This window comes from Homo sapiens, chromosome 6 (assembly GCF_000001405.40).
Source record: "Homo sapiens chromosome 6, GRCh38.p14 Primary Assembly".
Taxonomy (NCBI): Eukaryota; Metazoa; Chordata; class Mammalia; order Primates; family Hominidae; genus Homo; species Homo sapiens.
The window spans coordinates 78,942,538-78,962,475 of record NC_000006.12 but is presented as its reverse complement, the minus strand read 5'-3'; the positions used below and the strand labels follow the sequence as shown (position 1 = coordinate 78,962,475).

At 33.8% G+C, this 19,938-nt stretch overlaps 2 protein-coding genes and 1 pseudogene across 4 annotated transcripts in view; 2 read left to right on the top strand and 1 right to left on the bottom strand.

Annotated features, from left to right (window-relative positions):
* Positions 1 to 19,938, bottom strand: part of IRAK1BP1 (interleukin 1 receptor associated kinase 1 binding protein 1) — a 111,861-nt gene that overhangs the window by 16,936 nt on the left and 74,987 nt on the right. The gene's annotated exons all lie outside the window — the stretch shown is intronic.
* The window catches only part of PHIP (PHIP subunit of CUL4-Ring ligase complex), a 143,836-nt gene that overhangs the window by 115,779 nt on the left and 8,119 nt on the right, over positions 1 to 19,938 (top strand). For all 3 annotated transcript variants that reach the window (XM_005248729.6, NM_017934.7, XM_011535918.4), the window contains 9 exons: positions 666 to 786; positions 3,876 to 4,001; positions 6,794 to 6,863; positions 7,194 to 7,244; positions 7,513 to 7,662; positions 14,701 to 14,853; positions 15,602 to 15,765; positions 16,216 to 16,475; positions 16,979 to 17,176. In XM_005248729.6, coding sequence (XP_005248786.1) covers positions 666 to 786; positions 3,876 to 4,001; positions 6,794 to 6,863; positions 7,194 to 7,244; positions 7,513 to 7,662; positions 14,701 to 14,853; positions 15,602 to 15,765; positions 16,216 to 16,475; positions 16,979 to 17,176 — 1,293 coding nt within the window. The remainder of the gene's footprint in view (positions 1 to 665; positions 787 to 3,875; positions 4,002 to 6,793; positions 6,864 to 7,193; positions 7,245 to 7,512; positions 7,663 to 14,700; positions 14,854 to 15,601; positions 15,766 to 16,215; positions 16,476 to 16,978; positions 17,177 to 19,938) is intronic.
* TRF-GAA8-1 (tRNA-Phe (anticodon GAA) 8-1) lies at positions 4,111 to 4,183 on the top strand (annotated as a pseudogene).

Sequence of the window (19,938 nt, the reverse complement as noted above, 5' to 3'; positions counted from 1 at the left end):
ATTCAAATCTGAAGTATTTTATAAAATGCCAACACTTTATAGGAATAGCCTTATAAATACTACCTTAAATAATTTTAGCAATATTTTAGGATATTAAGTATTATATGCGAATGAGCAAAAAATTGGGAGTGATCTTAACTAGTTATAGTTTTTGCTGTACAACTTTACGGTGTGTATTGGGTCAGTATCACTGAATCAAAACTTCTGGGTCTGTTTCCTTTTCTCTACTTGTCTAATATTTCACAGAATAATGTAAAGTTGAGATAAAGGGATACGTTTGAGAAAGTCAAAGGTTAGATTTGAATGCAGTATGTTACAGTGTTAATAATAGAATGGCTTTGCCAAATATAGATTCAGGAATGGCCAACTGTCAATTACGGCAATGTATGTGTACTTATTAGGTCTGATATATGTATATATAATTTGTTTCTTTCTCCCGGTGAACCTATGAATAAAACAATACCCCTAGAATTTGGCAGTGTAAATGTAGACATAATAAAAAGTGAGACTCTTTATGTCAGCTACACTATATTGTTTATGAAAAGACAGTGGCAGACTAATGATTATGTAGATTAGGACTTTTTAAGTCTTAATTCAAGCAGAATTCTTCTTGAATTATTTTAGGCATACAAAAATAAATTTACAAACTTATCTATTTATTTTAGATATTGCCTCAGCATTTGTGGCCCCCGTGGATCTGCAAGCCTATCCCATGTATTGCACAGTAGTGGCATATCCAACGGATCTAAGTACAATTAAACAAAGACTGGAAAACAGGTTTTACAGGTTAGAACCATTTGATGTAGCTACTATCAAAGGAAAGCTGGTGATCTTTCCACCCATTTACTGATCTTTAGCAGTGTTTCTCAACTTTTTGTATATAGGAATGCACATAAGATTATGGGGATTATGTTAAAATGTAGAATCTTATTCAGTAGATTTGGAGTGGGACCTGAGATTCTGCATTTCTAACAAGTCCCAGTAATGTCGATGCTGCTGGTCTTTAGACACTTAAAATACAATTCCTAGATCCTAGATACAGTTTTTCCTAGAGGCTGACATGATTTGATATTCACTGTCTTTATATTGTATTTTATAAAGCAAGGCAAGGTATTTCATTTTCTCCTAGATAACATTAAAATATTTGTTCATTGATTTTTAATATAATATATAATAAAAATTTTGTATTCGTATTATGTATTTTGTTCTTATTTTGCCTGTATTCAGCTTATCATTACTTATAACACTGAAATTTGAAAATACTCAGTTTTTCATAGTTGTAGTTTAGCATGAAAAAGAATTAGAGTTAAATGGCCCAGGCATAATTTCAATTAATTTGCATTATCTAGGTAATTTTGATGAATGTCTTTAATCGTCAGTAGGCTTTATTATTACCTAAAATGTTTTGTCAAAAAATATGTTTATAGTTTTTAAATAATGGAATCCTGTTTTTAGTTTTAATTTTTATCATATGACCTTTGCTTAGCAGTCCAACAATTTAATTTGTGTAACATTGCATTAAAAGTTTTTGTGACCAGTTATTTATTACTGAAGTCCTTTCCGTTATTCTTCTTTTTAACATAGAGAAGCTTTATTCATATTTTGTATTAATATTTTTCTATATAAAATGTGCCTTTGGTTCTTTTTATGACTTAAATTTTATTTCTGTATCTCATTGTGAGGGGCTATCCTGTGCCTGTACCCACTAGATGCCAGTAGCAGCCCCCTAGTTGTGAAAACCAAAAATGTGTTCAGACATTGTCACATGTCTTCTGGGGAGCATAATTGTCCTTGATTGAGAACCACTGGAATAAAGAAAACTAATATATTAGACTTTAGTTTCTAAAGATTTTTCTGATCTTCTTAGGTGTACTTGCTGTTGCTTCCTTGATATTTGTCAAAAAGCGTAGAGATAAGGAGAAGTCCTCCCTGCTATGTGGTTCCCAACCATCCCACCCTCAAAGCATTCTTCAAGTCTTTTTCAATATCAGGTGTTGGAAGTTTAAGAGAAAAAAAAAAAAAAAAGGAATTCCTAACTATATTCCTCTTTCTCCCTTGACCCCTTAAATTGCTAAAGATTGGAAATTAAACCTAGTGCTTCAGAGATGAAACAAGACATGGGTGGATGAGAAGGAAAGAACTATTTGTATACATACACTAATTGTTGGACTGCAACTAGAAATATAAGCTGCTGATGTCTTCCAATATTGTTGTAAATATCTCACATATTGCTCAACATGATAATTGCTAAAGTATACTATACATAAGGTTTGACTTACAATGGTTTGACTTAGATTTTTCAGCTTTACAGTGATATGAAAGGGATATGAATTCAGTAGAAACCATACTTCAAATTTTGAATTTTCATCTTTTTCTGGGCTTGTGATGTACTCTTTCATGATGCTGAGCGATGTCAGTGAGCTACAGCTCCCAGTAGCTCCCAGTCAGCCACGTGATCATGAGGTTAAACCAATACTGTACAGTGTATTGTACAGTTGATTGCCATATGATGTTGCCCAACCATAGGCTAATGTCAGTGTTCTGAGCACATTTGAGGTAGGCTTGGCTGAGGTAAAATATTTGCTAGGTTAAGTATATCGCATGCATTTTTGACTTAATGGTATTTTGAATTTACAGTGGGTTTATCAGGATGTAACACCATCGTTAGTTGAGGAACATCTGTATTTCAAGATACATTATATTTTAAATAGGCTTTTGGCATTACCCTAGTTTTGTAGCCAATTTAGGAAAAAAACATTTGAAAGACAATACTTACATGAATTAGAAATTGCCTGTTTTCCAACCTGATAATAAACTCTGTTATAAACCTAAGTTATGTTCTTATTCAATACAATGATGACTTCAATGTATTACATTCAATACAATGTAAGTAGGTTTTTGCTTCTTCCTTCACTCATTGGTGTTAGACTTCTTACAGTTTGTTTTTCTTTCGTGAAACTTCTAGTTCAATCTCTTGTTAAACTATTACTGTCAGTTTGCCCTGCTGGTATTAATCTAATACTTTATTTTACACACAGTTTTCTATATGATACACTGAAGATATCTGTGATTCTGTTATCAGAATGAGCCTTGTGAATCTATTTGAAATGCACAGTTTTTCTTTATGTTTCTATGTCCACAATTAGATACAGTGTTATTCCATATGATTGTATTTCTGTTCACAATCAGTAAGATTTTCTAAGTGTTTTCTTTATTATTTTAAGTCAGGCCACATATTAGATAATATTCTCAAAAGTTGTCCTTGGATTTTTATTTACTTTCAGAAATAAAATTGTAAAACTCCAGATTTTATTTTAGCATTGTCAATTAAGTGTTCAGAAAATAATTCTCATTTAGTTAGGTTTCTTGGTAAACTAGCATGCTATATTTTTATGATTTTGTATCTCATAAGGTGGCTGTCAGTTAACTTCTCATTTGTATATGTCATTTGATTACCAGTAAGATAATTAGATTAAAATTACTTGTTTCCTTTTTGTTCAGAAGTGAGGGTTCTTTATTACCAAAAAATGACAGCACACATGACAAAAATACATAAAGCCAAAACTTAAAACTCTCCCCTTTCTACTCTCCTGCCACTCCCCATATAGACGTTCTCCCTCCCAAAAAGAGGCCTTTGTTAATATGGTGTGTTCCATTCCAGACATCTTGTATGCAAATACGTAGTTATGGTTGCCCCTCTTTTTTTCCCCTAACACAAATGCAGTTATGCTGCTTTGAAAATGACTTTATAAGACCAATGGTTTTTACAGTTGGTTTAGACTGAAGTTGAAAAGTTGGAATGTCTTGGTTTTAAATGATGTACACATATTTCTAAATATAAGGAAGTTAAAACTTCTATATTTTGTTTTTTTAAGGCGGGTTTCTTCCCTAATGTGGGAAGTTCGATATATAGAGCATAATACACGAACATTTAATGAGCCTGGAAGCCCTATTGTGAAATCTGCTAAATTCGTGACTGATCTTCTTCTACATTTTATAAAGTAAGTTATCTTTTCATATGTAATTATGATAGTTTTAATAATTAATGGCACTACAGTTCCTCTTAAAATAGAAAACATACTGTTTGTAAAGAAGAAACATTTAAGAGTAGCCAAAATAGCTCAGCTGGGAGAGCATTAGACTGAAGATCTAAAGGTCTCTGGTTTGATCCTGGGTTTCAGAAGAAACAGTTCATTGGCTAATAATAAGAATGAAATCATAAAAATCGTATTACCATTGTGTTTTAAGGTTAAAATTGTTTAAAAAAAGATTATTTTCTCAATCTAACTGTTAGACAATAATAATAGTAAAAATTTATTTAACATGTAATGTTTTACCTACATTAACTCTTCTAACCCAAATAACAATCTTACAGGTGGAAGAGATAATTATCTGGAATTTTGAATTGAGGAAACTGTGGCCTATAGTGGTTAACATGTATAAGGTTGCACGGTAAATGAGTGTCTGCCATCTGATTTGAGAATTTTTCATCCTAACAGTATATTGCCCCTGTCAAGTATATTAACAAGTATTTAAATAGTCCAGCAGGAGACTGAATTTAACTTTCATGATTCTTCTTCAAAGTCAAGTTTACTTCCTCATTGATCCCATAACAAGAGTGATAAGCACTATTTATTAAGGCAGAAGTACTTTCCCTTCCTTATCTTAAGGATTTTATGCAATCATATAATGAATTGAGCCTCCTAAGTTGAAGGCAGAGAAATGAATTCTATATTTTGTACAAAGACTGCTGTGATTCCATGTCATTATTTGTATTGAATTTTTTTTTCCTGGTTGAGAAGTAGTAACAGCATTTTAAAAGCTTACTTAGCTGTTATCAGCTTTCATTTTTACATAATGAAAAATTCAGGATTATTCAGTTTTTTTTTTTTTTTTAATAAACATCCCTGCTTCATTCTCATTAATGGACATAATCTTTGAGCTCCTTTTTGATTAATGTGTTTTAACTGAGGAATGCAGGTCATTTCAGTATAAGAAAACACCAAACATAATTAATAAGGTAAAGTTTGTGCCCTTTCTCTACCTTATTCTCTAAGAAATCTATTGCTTTCCAATGGTTTGGGGGCTATTATTGCTATGCTTTTGTTTTCCTTATTGAAATTAGTAATTAAGCATTATCCTCTGAAGACTCTTATGTCTGTAATTTTTTATAAGTGTTATAACTATGTGTATGTGTATCTGTTTTTTCAAAGAGAATCAGTAGAACTACATGAGATAGTATATTCATATTTCAGTGAAATAATTTAGATGAAAATTGTTAATACATTTGAAAGTCTGTGAAATGTATTTCTTTCAAACGGCTACTTTGAAATGTCTTTGAAGTCAGATTCATGAAATACTTAAAGCATTTGTATTGTATATTTCTAAAAATAAATCCATGGCATTTTTTTAGATGTGTATAGTTTGTTTAAAAATACTTTTTTTAGCAGATAGTCTTCAAGATATTAAGTATTCCTTGAAATTTTGATTATTATACTTTTTAATTGAGTTATTTGGCAAAATTTCAAGCAATTGATACATACAAAGTAATGTGATGGATCCTTTTAATACAGTTTCATAGGATAGATAAATCTGTAAGAAAGTATAATATAAGGAAAACTGTGACAAGTAGTAAGAGAATTGTATAAAAGTTTAGATAAGAATAGGATTACTTTTAGCTGTGATGATGGGGATTCAGATACAGGGGAGGAGAAGTCTGTTAAGACATTGTATACAAGGTGTAGATACTGATAGATTCTGGAAATGTTAGATGAAAAGAAAGCCATTCCAGGGATAAGGAGCAGCGTGAGGTAGGAAGTTTTAATTAAGGGTAATATAAATTGGAGAAGTCACAGTAGAGATACAGTGCTATAAATCTGAGTTGGGGCCACATCGTGGGTGGCTTTGAATATGAATCTAAAATATAAGCTCTGAGAGCAAGGGGCTGTTGAAAGTATATTAACATGAGAATAACATGTTTTACACTATGCCTTAAAAATGTTAATTTGACTGCAGTGTCTAATTTAATTGACAGAGAAGAGACAAAAAGCATAAATAGCAGATTGACTGCTACAGTTGACCAACTAAGAGTTGATGAGGGCTTAATTTATGAAAGTGAGAAAGGGACAGATGCCCAGACATACTTGAGGATAGAGTTCACAGCCCTTGACCACTAATTGGGTTTATAAGGAGGAGGAAAGGGAAAGAATAATGAAAAACCAAGATTCCCATTACTGTAAGAATGATATGTTGTTAAAGAAAAATAGAAAAAGGAACAAGGATATCTGGGGAGTCACTATTAAGTTTAGACGTGGAATTTTAGGTGTTGGTAGAATGCTCAGGAGAAGGGTTAGGACAAATTGCAGGAATTTTGGAATTCATTTACACAGATAAACCACAAGTATGTGAAGCAAAAGGTACAGTGTCAAGATGCGTTAAGAACAAAATTTTAGGAAATACATTTAAAAATAAAAGAAAGAGTTGGAAGACAAGAAATGTATTAGCTGTTTGAAGACTGAGGAATGGAAGAAGCACAGCAGATACCTAAGCAAAGACTGGGAGATGAGACTTGGGTTTGGTGTAATGATATAGTGAGGCCACACTGAAAGCTCTACATAGAGTGGAGGGGTCAGGGTTAAATGTGTGTGCATAAATTATTGGAGTAAGCCAATGGAGAAGAAAGCAAGCCTTCAGCTTCAACTTTTACCTTAAAATATGGTTTTACGAACAAATTTTTAAGGAAAAAAATTATCATGGTTCTAATCTTACATGTTAACATTTCCTTGTTATGTAGGGATCAGACTTGTTATAACATAATTCCACTTTATAATTCAATGAAGAAGAAAGTTTTGTCTGATTCTGAGGTATGTAATATTTCATTATTATTACCATATTGATATTCTCTATATAAAAAAATTTACATATTGTAGTTTTCAGGTAAAAGCTGTTGTGAACATTATTTTTTGTCTAGTGTAGTTAATTTAAAAAAAAAAAACAACTGGCAGTAGAATATTCTTCTTATAGTTAAAAAAAATTTTTTAATGGGGGGAACCTTTTTAATGAGTCAATAAAGTGCCCCAGCATATACATTACAGGTGTTCCAGTGTGTAAAGGAAATAATTGCTAGTTAATCAACTATAAAGTATAATGACATCTAAAATGTTTTATGAATCTGGTAAATTCTTGCCTCAAAGGATGAAGAGAAAGATGCTGATGTGCCAGGAACTTCTACTCGAAAAAGGAAGGTAATATAGTTTTAGTTTTAGCAGAAGTACTTTATATGAATTAAAATGTATTAAGAGCTTTCTTTATTTTTTTACTCTTAGCATTTTAAAAGACATTAAGTATTTCAAATTAGTTTCAATTACAAAATGTATGTTTTTTAGAACTTGGTGAATATTTTCTTTTGTTTGAATTATTGTATATTACCCAATTATCTAAGACTACATTAAAAGTACAAATTTTATTGTGTAAGTGCTCTTTTATTAATATATTTGAACACTTTTATCACAGGACCATCAGCCTAGAAGAAGATTACGTAATAGAGCCCAGTCTTACGATATTCAAGCATGGAAGAAACAGTGTGAAGAATTGTTAAATCTCATATTTCAATGTGAAGATTCAGAGCCTTTCCGTCAGCCGGTAGATCTCCTTGAATATCCAGTAAGTATTTTTGAAAATATTTTCTTTACCTGTCAGTTTGCTACATACCTTTTACATGACAGTTGGCTATTTTAGTTACTTTTTATGATTATAGTTTATTTCTTTATTATTTTATACATGTTCTCATTATCCATTTGGCTACATAGAGAATCCAAATTTTGAATAGTGTGGTAAAATGGAAGGAGCCCTGAATGAAGACACTGTAAGAATTGGGTTATTCTGTTCCTACTAGTTGTGCAGCTTTGAGCAAGTCCCTTAGTTTTCTCATCTGAATTTTTTTTTTCTTTTTTTGTCTTCCCTACACTGATTCCATGAATTTATTATGGCAATTATCTAGAAAAAAAGAATAATGCCTACGTCCTTACAGGATTATGGAGATGTAAAGAGAATATATAAAAATAGTTTTTAGGCTGGGCACGGTGGCTCATGCCAGTAATCCCAGCACTTTGGGAGGCCGAGGCAGGCAGATCACGAGGTCAGGAGATCGAGACCATCCTGGCTAACACGGTGAAATCCCGTCTCTACTTAAAATACAAAAAAAAAAATTAGCCAGGCGTGTGGGCGGGTGCCTGTAGTCCCAGCTACTTGGGAGGCTGAGGCAGGAGAATGGCGTGAACCCGGGAGGTGGAGCTTGCAGTGAGCCGAGATCCCACTGCCGTACTCCAGCCTGGGCGACAGAGCAAGAGACTGAGTCTCAAAAGCAAACAAAAAATAGTTTTAAATGTGAAGCACTGTGTACAAATGTAAGGTGACATTATTGTATATATTTAGGTTATGCCAATGTGTAATCTTTATGGAATACATGGTAAAAAGAGCTAAGTAAACATGATTTAAGTATTTATTTTGGCGTGCAATCATAGCAATCTAAATTTAATGTAGAGTGATTTCTCATCCCTTTAAAAAGTAATTAAATGTTATATAGTTCAGGGGTCGGGCGTGGTGTCTTACACCTGTAATCCCAGCACTTTGGGAAGCCAAGGCAGGCGGATCACCTGAGGCCAGGAGTTCAAGACCAGCCTGACCAACATGGTAAAATCCCGTCTCTACTAAAAGTACAAAAATTAGCCGGGCTAATTTTTGTTCTAACTTACAATGATGAAAATAAAGAAATTTCATCAACAGATAAATATCAGAAAATGACTTTTTTCATGTCATTTAAAATGCCAGAAACATAGAATGTTAAATGTGGAAGAGAAATCTTTAATTCCAGCGGCGTGATAAATTGAGCTAATTAGAACCTCACCTTTCAAAAAACCTGGGACTGAGCTGATGCTATAATGTTCTGGCTTTCATTTCTCTCTGTGTTTTCACAACTTATGGATTTCGCTTTGGTTCTTGCAAGCTCAGCTATGTATTCTTTTGAAAAATAAGTTGCAGTTTATTCATTGTTTTAAGCGTTTGTATTCTGGGCTTTGCACAGAAAAGAAGAGATAGAAATAAGACAATGTTTTTATTCTAGAGGCACAAGTATTAACACTATACAGAGATAATTGAGTCCTTGGGCAGTGGTGAAAAAGGAATTTGGAGCTGAAACCCAACCCTAAACCAGAAATATTGAAGAACTGTACCCTGAATGAAAAGAAGAATTGAATAATTCCTTTCACAACAAAGAATGTTTCCCCCAGTGGTTCTAGTGTCAGAGAGGAGAAATTTTCCTAAACTTACACTATACATGGACTTAGAATCCAAATTTGCACCACCCTTGTGTAGAAATCCATTATGGAAAAAATGTTAATCCTTAACTGAATGAACTAATGATTTAAAAAAAAAACAACACCTATATAAGGGAGTGATCTACCATAATAAGATAACAGAAACAACAAATGAAAATATTAGTACCCTCTCCCTGAAAATTTGAGTAATAGATTATTCTGAAGTACTGTACTTCATTAAAAAAAAGAGAGATGACATTCCTTGTAAGATTACTGTTGTTATATGTACCACCAAGAAAAAAGAAATGCTGTTGAGTTAAACTTTGATAGATAGTTTTGGTTAAAGGAATAAATGAAAGAATAAGAAACATAGGGAAAAAATATGTTATTTGAGAGGAAAAGAGTGAAGACATATTAAAATCAACTAAATAGAATCCTGGAAATGAAATGTATAATTACTGAAATTAAACTTACTGGACAGTTTTAAAAACAGACTAAAGAGATAGTAAGTGTAAAGATCTAAGCAAATTCTATAGAATCCCACACAGAATGATAAAGAGATTAAGAGTGTGAAGGAGAGGGTAAGAGGTAGTGGTAGATAGAAAGAGAAGGTCCAAAATATGTCTAACAAAAATTTCAGTGGAAGAGAATAGACAGAATGGGAGAGGAGCAATATTTGAGGAGCTAATGGCCAAGAATTTTTTTTTCCTTTTTTTTTTTCTTTTTTTTTTTTCTTTTTTTTTTGGGACAGAGTCTCACTCTGTCTCCAGGCTGGAGTGCAGTGGCTCAATCTCGGCTCACTACAAACTCTGCCTCCTGGATTCAAGCGATTCTCCTGCCTCGGCCTCACGAGTAGCTGGGATTATAGGCGCATGCCACCACGCCCAACTAATTTGTATATTTTTAGTAGAGGTGGGGTTTCACCATGTTGGCCAGGATGGTCTCAATCTCTTGACCTTGTGATCTGCCTGCCTCAGCCTCCCCAAAGTGCTGGGATTACAGGCATAAGCCACCATGCCCGATGGCCAAGAATTTTCTAGAATTGGTAAACATTTGAGAAGCTATGATTCCTGATCGGGATATACAAGAAAAGAATCTTTACCTAGAATAAGAGTGAAAAAAACTCAACAATTGAAAGTCAAAAAGAAAATATTGAAACAGTCATACAGAAAAAATGGAGGAGACCTGAGACTGCTCCAAGCCACTCACTTTACTGATGTTGAACTGATACTCATCACTCTAAGATTTATAGACAAAACTATTTATAGCTATTTATTTGTAGCTATTTATAGACAAAGCCACAATGGGAACCCGTATCCCTTATGTCCAGTGCACCAGTTATATGTGATATTCTGAGACAATAGGCAAATGAATTTTTATATAAAGAAAGTAGTTCACTTTTCAAACTTAAAAGGGAAATATATAAGAATGCAGTCATCTTTTACATGTTCAAAATAATGAGAACAATATTTAGCAAATACTTAGAACCTGTCCCACCAGCTAAACGTGTTAGGCAACAAAAAGTAGTAGAAATAAGAAAAATGTAATCTCTTGCCTCTTGCAGTACTCCATGATGGAGGTTTGTTGTTTTGTTAATTACTGTCACAGAAGAGAAAAAGAAAACTTCGGATAATCTACTTTTTATAATTCAGAATTAACTGTATCATCCTTTAGTGGAATATTTAAGGCAGATCATGCACTTCATATTTCATCTTTTATATGAAAATATTGGTTCACATTTTGAGTTTAATCAAATATTCAAAGCAAGATGTTAAAAATTAAATTTTTAATGGAAATGAATGGGCTTAATATTCTACAACGTTCATTTATTCAACAGAATTGTATTGAGCAGCTATTATGTACTATACTACATGGTGTAAGCCCAAGATATGAGCCAAGAAAAATTAAGTATTCTACATAAATAAAATTTACATTAACCAAAATATTGCAAAACATTTTAAAAAATCATTTTTATATTTTGCCCAAATCCACAAAGTTTGTAAAGCCAATAATGTAAAATCTCCAAGGACTTGTTAACGAAAGAGCCCACCTCTAAATAATCTATGGATCAAACAAATCTCATGGGAATTTAAAAAATGCATTGAACTCAATTAAAACAAATTCAGTATATCAAAATTTGTAGGATGCAGTTAAAGCAATGCAGGGAAATTTCTAATACTAAAATGTACTAAAGAGTACAGCAGAAAAGGAGAAGTTTCAAATCAATAATCGAAGCTCACTCCTCAAGAACCTAGAGAAAGAAGAGTAAAATCACCCAAAGGTAAGCCAACAAAAGGAAATAATAAAGAGCTGAAATCAGTGAAACTCAAAAAAGAAAAACAATAAAGAAAATCTATGAAATTGAAAGCTGGGTTCTTTGAGAAGATCAACAGAATTGACAAGCCTCTGTTAAGATTTACACAGCTTATAAAGAGAGAAGACAGATTGTTAATATCAGAGATGATATAGAGCATATCACTGTAGACCCTGCAAATACCAGAAGGATAATAAAGTAAAAATAAGTAATACTACAAAGAATTCTACATATATAAATTTGATAACTTACATGAAATAGACCGATATTCAAAGTATAAACTACCACAACTCACCCAGTATGAAGCAAATAACTCAGTAACCCTATTAAGGAAATTTAATTTGTGATTATAAGTTTTCAAAAAACAAATGTCTAGTCCTGGATGGCTTCACTGGAGAATTCAACCAAACATTTAAAGAATTAACACAAATTCTACACAATCTCTTCCAGAAGATAGAAAAACTCAAAATTCCCAACTCACTCTATGAAGACCAGTGTTCCCCTGATCTCAAAACCAGACAATAAGAGTAGAAAAGAAGAAAAACCTTTAACGAAATAACAGCAAATAGAATTCAGGAATATATTAAAAAATGATTTTATACCATGACCAAGTGCTGTTTATTCCAGAGATACAAGGATGGTTCAGTATTCAAAAACCAGTCAGTGTAATCCATCATATTAATAGGCTAATGAAGAAAAATCTCATGATTATATCAAGTAATCCAGAAAGAACATTTGACAAAATTTCACACCCATTTGTTCTGTGAATGTGTATTTTGGTTATGGTAAAGTCAGTGCGGTCACAGGAGGAAATGAAAACAAGGCTTGGAAGGAAAAAGTTTATTATACTCGAGTCCCAGGCCAAGCATGGTGGCTCACACCTGTAATCCCAGCACTTTGGGAGGCCAAGGTAGGTGGATCACTTGAGCTCAGGAGTTTGAGACCAGTCTGAGCAATATGGCAAAACCCCGTCTTTACAAAAAATACAAAAATTAACCGGGTGCAGTGGCGTGCACCTATAGTTCAAGCTACTAATGAGGCTGAGGTGGGAGGATTGCTTGAGCCTGGGAGGTAGACATTGCAGTGAGCCAAGATGATACCACTGAACTCTAGCCTGGCAATAGAGTGAGACCCTATCTCATTAACAACAAAAAAAAAAAAGTAAAAAAGAGTCCCAGAAAAGTCGGGGCTTACCACATGCCACACAGGGCCACAGGGGAAGTGCTAGGTTTTGGTTGGGTAGGAGAGACCAAAACCAGGGAAAAGCTTAGAAATCCTTTATTGGGGTTTCTGCAGGAAATGCAAGGCAGGTCACAGTTAACAGCTTATTATTGGCTAGTTTGAATAATTCCAGTGGGCCCTGGGGCACAGGTATCTAGTTGTCTGGTCCCAGCTCTGAGATGATTTAAAACAGGGAAATACTGGCTTAGTGTGTGAGAGTGAGAAAAGGAGCTGATTGTGGCTTTATACTTGGGATTCATTGGTATGTATATGAAAGACATGTTCTCAGTGGAACCCCTCACTAAGACTGCCCAGGAAGGGGCAATCTTTTCCCAGGTCTGTAAGGCCCCCCAGGTACCAGATCATCATTGGCCTGTGAATAGATGGCAAATAGACAAATGCAGAATCTGAAGAAGTGAGACATTAATTCATTATAAAACCCCTAAGAAAACCGGGAACAAAGGAAAACTTCCACAACTTGATAAAGTACATCTATAAAAAGTACATCTACAGCTAATATCATGTTTACTGGTGACAGACTGAGTGCTTTCCCCCTAAGAATTAGGAATGACTGAAAAATGTTCACTCTCACCACTGCTATTCAATGTAGTACTGGAAATTCTAGCCAATGCAATAAGGCAAGAAAAGGAAATAAAAGGCATAACTATTGGAAAGGAAGAAATAAAAATTTGTAAAGGCAGTAATCCTACCTTATAGGACACCTTCTTCATGGTCAGACGTATTTGATCATAATTTAAACTTGATGGTGCAAAGTCAAGTTGTTACACTTCAAAAAATATAGTCGCATACTGAGGGACTGTTGAAAAGCTGCAGGCCAGGTGTGGTGGCTAATGCCTATAATCCCAGCACTTTGGGAGGTCAAGACGGGCAGGTCATTTAAGCCCAGGAGTTTGAGACCAGTCTCAGCAACATGCTAAGACCCGTCTCTACAAAAATTATAAAAATTAGCTGGGTGTGGTAGCGCCTGCCTGTAGTCCCCGCTACTTGAGAGGCTGAGGTGGGAAGGTTGCTTGAGTCTGGGAGGCCAAGGATGCAGTGAGCTTTGATGGCACCAACTGCACTCTAACCTGGGCAGCAGCAAGACTGTGTCTCCCAAAAAGGGGGGGTACAATACTCTTTGTCCCTGCTAAAAAAAAATAGCATATTCTGATAATTTTAGAATTATATACCATATTATGATAATTTTCTGTTGCTCTTCCTGTTTCACGTGTGTGTTTTTATTGGTTCCAATCTGTTACCTAATTTTATACTCTATTGACTAGGTAGACATCTCAGGTGACATGCATAGACTTTGTGACAACTATTTACATTCGTAATTCTTTATTACTGCAAAGCAAAACTCCCAATTTTAGTACTGAAGTTGAGATTACTAGAACTTAGGTGTCTGCATAAATGGGATGCTGGCATACTTCCATTGTTTTTATTTCCTTAAAGTTACAGTTGTGTTTTAATGAGTCAGACCTTTAGAATTTATAAGTAGTATAAAGTTTTGAGTTTTTCTTTCAAACTTTCGGTTGTAGAGCTGGGCTTTTTCCTTACTCTTTTACTTTCCCTTTTCCAATACAACTCCATCTCCCAAGTCTCCAGTGAAAAATTAATAACTTCTGTGTTCTTGAATAAGAAAATTATTGTTGATTGCAGTATAAGGGGGGGGAGTATGAAATAAATAAGAATTATTAGAAAAAAGGGACTCTTGATAAGGGGAACAGGAGTGATTATTAAGAGTTCTAGGACTTGCAGTCATCATAAAAATCCTGTGCGAATCCCTGCACTGAGAAGTGATGCTTTGTGTAGTAATAATCATAACACCACCTGTTTTCCCTCTCCTAGGACTACAGAGACATCATTGACACTCCAATGGATTTTGCTACCGTTAGAGAAACTTTAGAGGCTGGGAATTATGAGTCACCAATGGAGTTATGTAAAGATGTCAGACTTATTTTCAGTAATTCCAAAGCATATACACCAAGCAAAAGATCAAGGGTATATAATTACATTATTTTCTTTTATGACTAGATTAAGTTAGAGGAGTGTGTTAAATGACTAAATGTTGCTTTACTTAAAATTTAGGTCAAAGTTAACTTTCTGTTACATTCTTAATGTTGTCCTACTGGAAAAAGAAATTATACCTTTCTACTCAGCTCCTTGTATGAAATAACATTGATGTTATCTTTGATGTCTGGGAATGGTTACTTTTCTTGAAGTAGTGCGGTTGATGCAAATTGTCCTGGTATGCACCAGAGCCATCTGGCCTTGAGTTTTCTAGCTATTATCTGCCTTGTGGAGCATTTTTGCGAAGATTTTTACAAATAAGTAAAAATATAATTTAACACTCTGACCAGACATGACATCACAAAGGAGTGCTATATAGCAACGAAATGAGAAAGAATAGATGCTAGTCCTAGATAGAAAACAGGTTCAAACATTTGGGATAGTTTCAGTGTAATAAAGTTGACAATAAGTTTTGTCTGTATGAGCCATTTGAATTTAGAGTCGGACTTTTCTTTAAGAATCTCAAAACTTGGAAGATTTCTGTTCTAAACACAAAAATACATAATTGTTAAAATGCTTCAGTTTACCTTTTCATCAAAAGATTAGGAAAAAGGGATGTAAAAAACAATAATTAAATTCTAAATATTTTTTACTGGAAAAATATTTACATTACAGTATTTACTGAACAAAGGTATTTTCCTCCAAGGAATGGTTGAACACTTTTTTTTTTCCCTCACAGATTTACAGCATGAGTTTGCGCCTGTCTGCTTTCTTTGAAGAACACATTAGTTCAGTTTTATCAGATTATAAATCTGCTCTTCGTTTTCATAAAAGAAATACCATAACCAAAAGGAGGAAGAAAAGAAACAGAAGCAGCTCTGTTTCCAGTAGTGCTGCATCAAGGTATTTAATTTCTTTTAAATACCACTAGCTGATCTATAACTTTCATCTAAATGATAGAACTTGGTGTTTTTTAATACTTCCTTTACTATTCCCTATATTGCAGAATGATAATTTGACATGCAAGTTCCTATGATGTGGAGGATTTTTAATCTTTTAACTAAAGCTATACTAGTGTAAGTGCTTAAATTCAAACTGCTAAATCTATACAGTAAAACAGCATTTTTAGGATAGTGATGGCATCATGCTTTCCGTCATATAACTTTAGCATTTACAGCGATCCTTCACTAAATATTCACTTTCAAAGGCTCACAATCATATGAAATCCACTATAAATCTCATATTTTAACATATTTCATAATAGTACAAATATTGAATCCAAAAATATTATAAACTGTTTTATTCGTTCACATAGAGCTATAAGAGTGACTGACAATACTATTTTATTTACAGCCCTGAAAGGAAAAAAAGGATCTTAAAACCCCAGCTAAAATCAGAAAGCTCTACCTCTGCATTCTCTACACCTACACGATCAATACCGCCAAGACACAATGCTGCTCAGATAAACGGTAAAACAGAATCTAGTTCTGTGGTTCGAACCAGAAGCAACCGAGTGGTTGTAGATCCAGTTGTCACTGAGCAACCATCTACTTCTTCAGCTGCAAAGACTTTTATTACAAAAGCTAATGCATCTGCAATACCAGGGAAAACAAGTAAGACTCACTTTCTAAATTGAAATGTATATGATGATTTTCTTAATTTAAGCTTTTACTTTGCCAAATGCAATATACTGAGTTTTAGTAATTCCTAGCAGACACTGTTGTTTTTGCCTTCTTTATTAATTTCCTATTTTAAAAAAAAGTTTTTAATAAGAAGAATTAAATTGAGGTTTAGGTCATTATAGACTAATGCTTAAAAATGGCAACTCTGATCTAAACTACCTGAATTTAAATCACAGTACCCACACTAGCTAGCAATTTGCCAAGACTTGCCTTCGAAATTTTGAAATGATGGGACAGCTTCTAAAAGGGCTGAAACTATTAAGAGTTTCTAGTTGGATACGCCTTTTTCCTATTAGAAAGTAGCTTTCCTAAGAAAGCTTTAAGCATCCTTCAGGTTTTGTTGTCTTGGCTAATTCAAATAATTCAGGTTAACCTTTTTTCTTATCTTTAGGTTCAATAACTCTTAATTTTTAAATTTTGTTTGTATGTTTTAGTACTAGAGAATTCTGTGAAACATTCCAAAGCTTTGAATACTCTTTCCAGTCCTGGTCAATCCAGTTTTAGTCATGGCACTAGGAATAATTCTGCAAAAGAAAACATGGAAAAGGAAAAGCCAGTCAAACGTAAAATGAAGTCATCTGTACTCCCAAAGGCGTCCACTCTTTCAAAGTCATCAGCTGTCATTGAGCAAGGTAAGGTATTACTTGTATCTTTCAAGATACAGTAGATCCTTATTATAAATAATGCTTTTGTTGGAATCAGCATTTATATCCACTTTTCAGGTTGCCCACTTAAAAGTCACACATCTGTATTAGTTGATAAATTTACTGCAATGAGCTATTATTGTGCCACTGCACTCCATCCTGGTAAACAGAATGAGACCCTGTCTCAAAAGAAAAAAAAAAAAAAGAAATAAATCTTCAAAGTTTAAATTAAATAGGGTATAGTTAACCCAATGTAGCATTCTTCACTTTTCTAGAAAAATGTTTAAGTAATTATTGGATCACAAAACTACTTATTTTTCTAGACTGACTTTTACTAAATAATAATTCATTGGGGTTGTCTACAACTGTAGAATACAACTTTTGACACCTTACTGTTACACTTCAAGTTCTTTCACCTCCAGGTTTTTATTGTAAAGTCTTTATGTTTGAAAGATGAAGAAGGTAAATAATAAAATATGCCATGTGACATGTTAAAATAATATGGCTTCTTGGCAGCAGACAGCCCAATAATAAGCATTTTGCATCATGACTTTCAAAGTGTGTCTAAGACATTTCTTCATTGTTGTCTTCAGAAACCTCTCTCAAAATTTAATTTCTCTACTGAAATCTTATTTTTGTTAATGGCATTGGGATCTACCCGTGTAAACTTAAAATCAGGGAGTCATCCTAGCCTTCTCTTCAGCAACTGAATCTGTTCAACAGCTTTTTGTTTTTGTTGTTTCTCCCTCCATAACATCTCTTAAATCTATTCTCTCCTCTCCATTCTCACCTCCATGACATTATTTCAAGGCCTACATAATTTCTTGCTTGGACTATTTTCCTAGTTTCCTAACTGGTCTTCCTGCCTCAGTTCTCAACTCTTTCTTAACCAGTCCCTCTCTCATATTGCAGCCAAAGCGATCTTTTTATTTCTCTCTAGCACATGTGGATGTGTGTACGTACACACAGAGAAAACACTTCCTTGCCTTCAAATCATATATGGAAACATTTTAAATTTTTTGCCTGTTACACAAGACTCTTTATTACTTGGCTCTTGCCTAACATTCCAGGTTCTTTTACCTTCTTTCTCTCTTTTGTATCCCAGTCATCCTAAACACTTAGAAGTTCCTGAGTCTTTGTTCTTTTCTCCTTTTGGGGGAATGTCTTTTTTTCCCTCCTAGTTTAATTGTCTGTTGCCTTTCACGTCTCACTTAAAATATCGTCTTCTTTAGGAAGTCTTCTCCTGGCTTCTTTAGATAGAATCAAGCACTTCCTTTTTTTTTTTTTTTTTTTTTTTAAAAAAAGACAGGATCTTGCTCTGTCACCGAGGCTGAAGTGCAATGGCCTGATTTCCATTCACTGCAACCTCTGCCTTGCCGGTTCAAGCAATTCTTCTGCCTCAGCCTCCCAAGTAGCTGGAATTATAGGTGTGTGCCATCACACCTGGCTGATTTTGTATTTTTGATATAGACAGGATTTCACCATTTTGACCAGGCTGGTCTCAAACTTCTGGCCTCTGGTGATCCACCCCACTCGGCCTCCCAAAGTATTGTGATTTCAGATGTGAGCCACCACGCCCAGCCAAGCACTTCCATCTTTATGTCCCAGAAAACCCTGTTCATTACCTTTGGTGGTACTTATAATGTTGATCATATTATTCATTTTCACATGTCTGTATCTCCAAAGAATCTGAGCTTAATGTGTTTACTCATTTTTAATGCCCATTATACAGAAGATAATAAGTGTTTGAATAACCAAAATGCTTTGCATATGAGTGTTTCACATTTTTAATAATCTGCCCCCTTTCTGAACTGAATTTAGAGTTTGAATAGTATATTGGCCTTGCTTCTTTTTATTCATGAATCCTAGAGAAATCAAATATATATGATGAATTGGTTCTAGCATTATGATAGCGGAGGTCTGGTATCATAACCTGTTTGATTTTTAATTTTTGAGTATTACAAATACTCGAGTACTGGTACTGTATAGAAATATCATTATCTATTAGTTAACATTAACAGTGTTTTATTACAAATAATGACACCTAAATTAACTATTTAGAATCAAGCAGTGTTGTCTAGTGGAATATAATACAAGCCATATATGTAATTTTAAATTTTGTACTCACCATGTTCAGTAAAAACAGGTAAAGTTAATTTTAATAATATTTTATTTATCCCATTATATCCAAAATGTTATTTCAGTATTTAATCAGTATTTTAAAATGTATACTGCTTTGGTATTTAAATTGAAATTTAAATAAAAATTTAGTTCCTAAGCTGCATAACTTTTCATGTGCCCAGGACAACACCGTTCAATATCAGTGGTTTTTAAACTTTTTTAAAAAACTTCTGAATTCCTTTTTAAGAAAGCTGCATTCATTCTTAACCTTTTTACATTATATATTGCTTTATAAAGTTGATGAGTCCTATAGTCCCTGTCTCAGAAAAATGTACATAAACATATCCATACAAAATTTGGGACCATTACAAGGGATTCATGTAGTCCTTAAAGCCTATCTTCTGTAGTAGGTACATGTACTGGATATTTAGAACCCTTGTAGTCATAATGTAAAACAAAAGAGATTGACAGAATCCCTGGGCAGTTTAAATGTCAGTTGCTCCATAGGAAATACTTAACTACTTTATGTCCACACCCACATTTTTTCCCAACCACTAATCTAAAGAGAGTCATTTCACTATGGGGGTCAGGAATTAAAAGCTTTGCATTTTCTGTCTGTACTTGGCTCT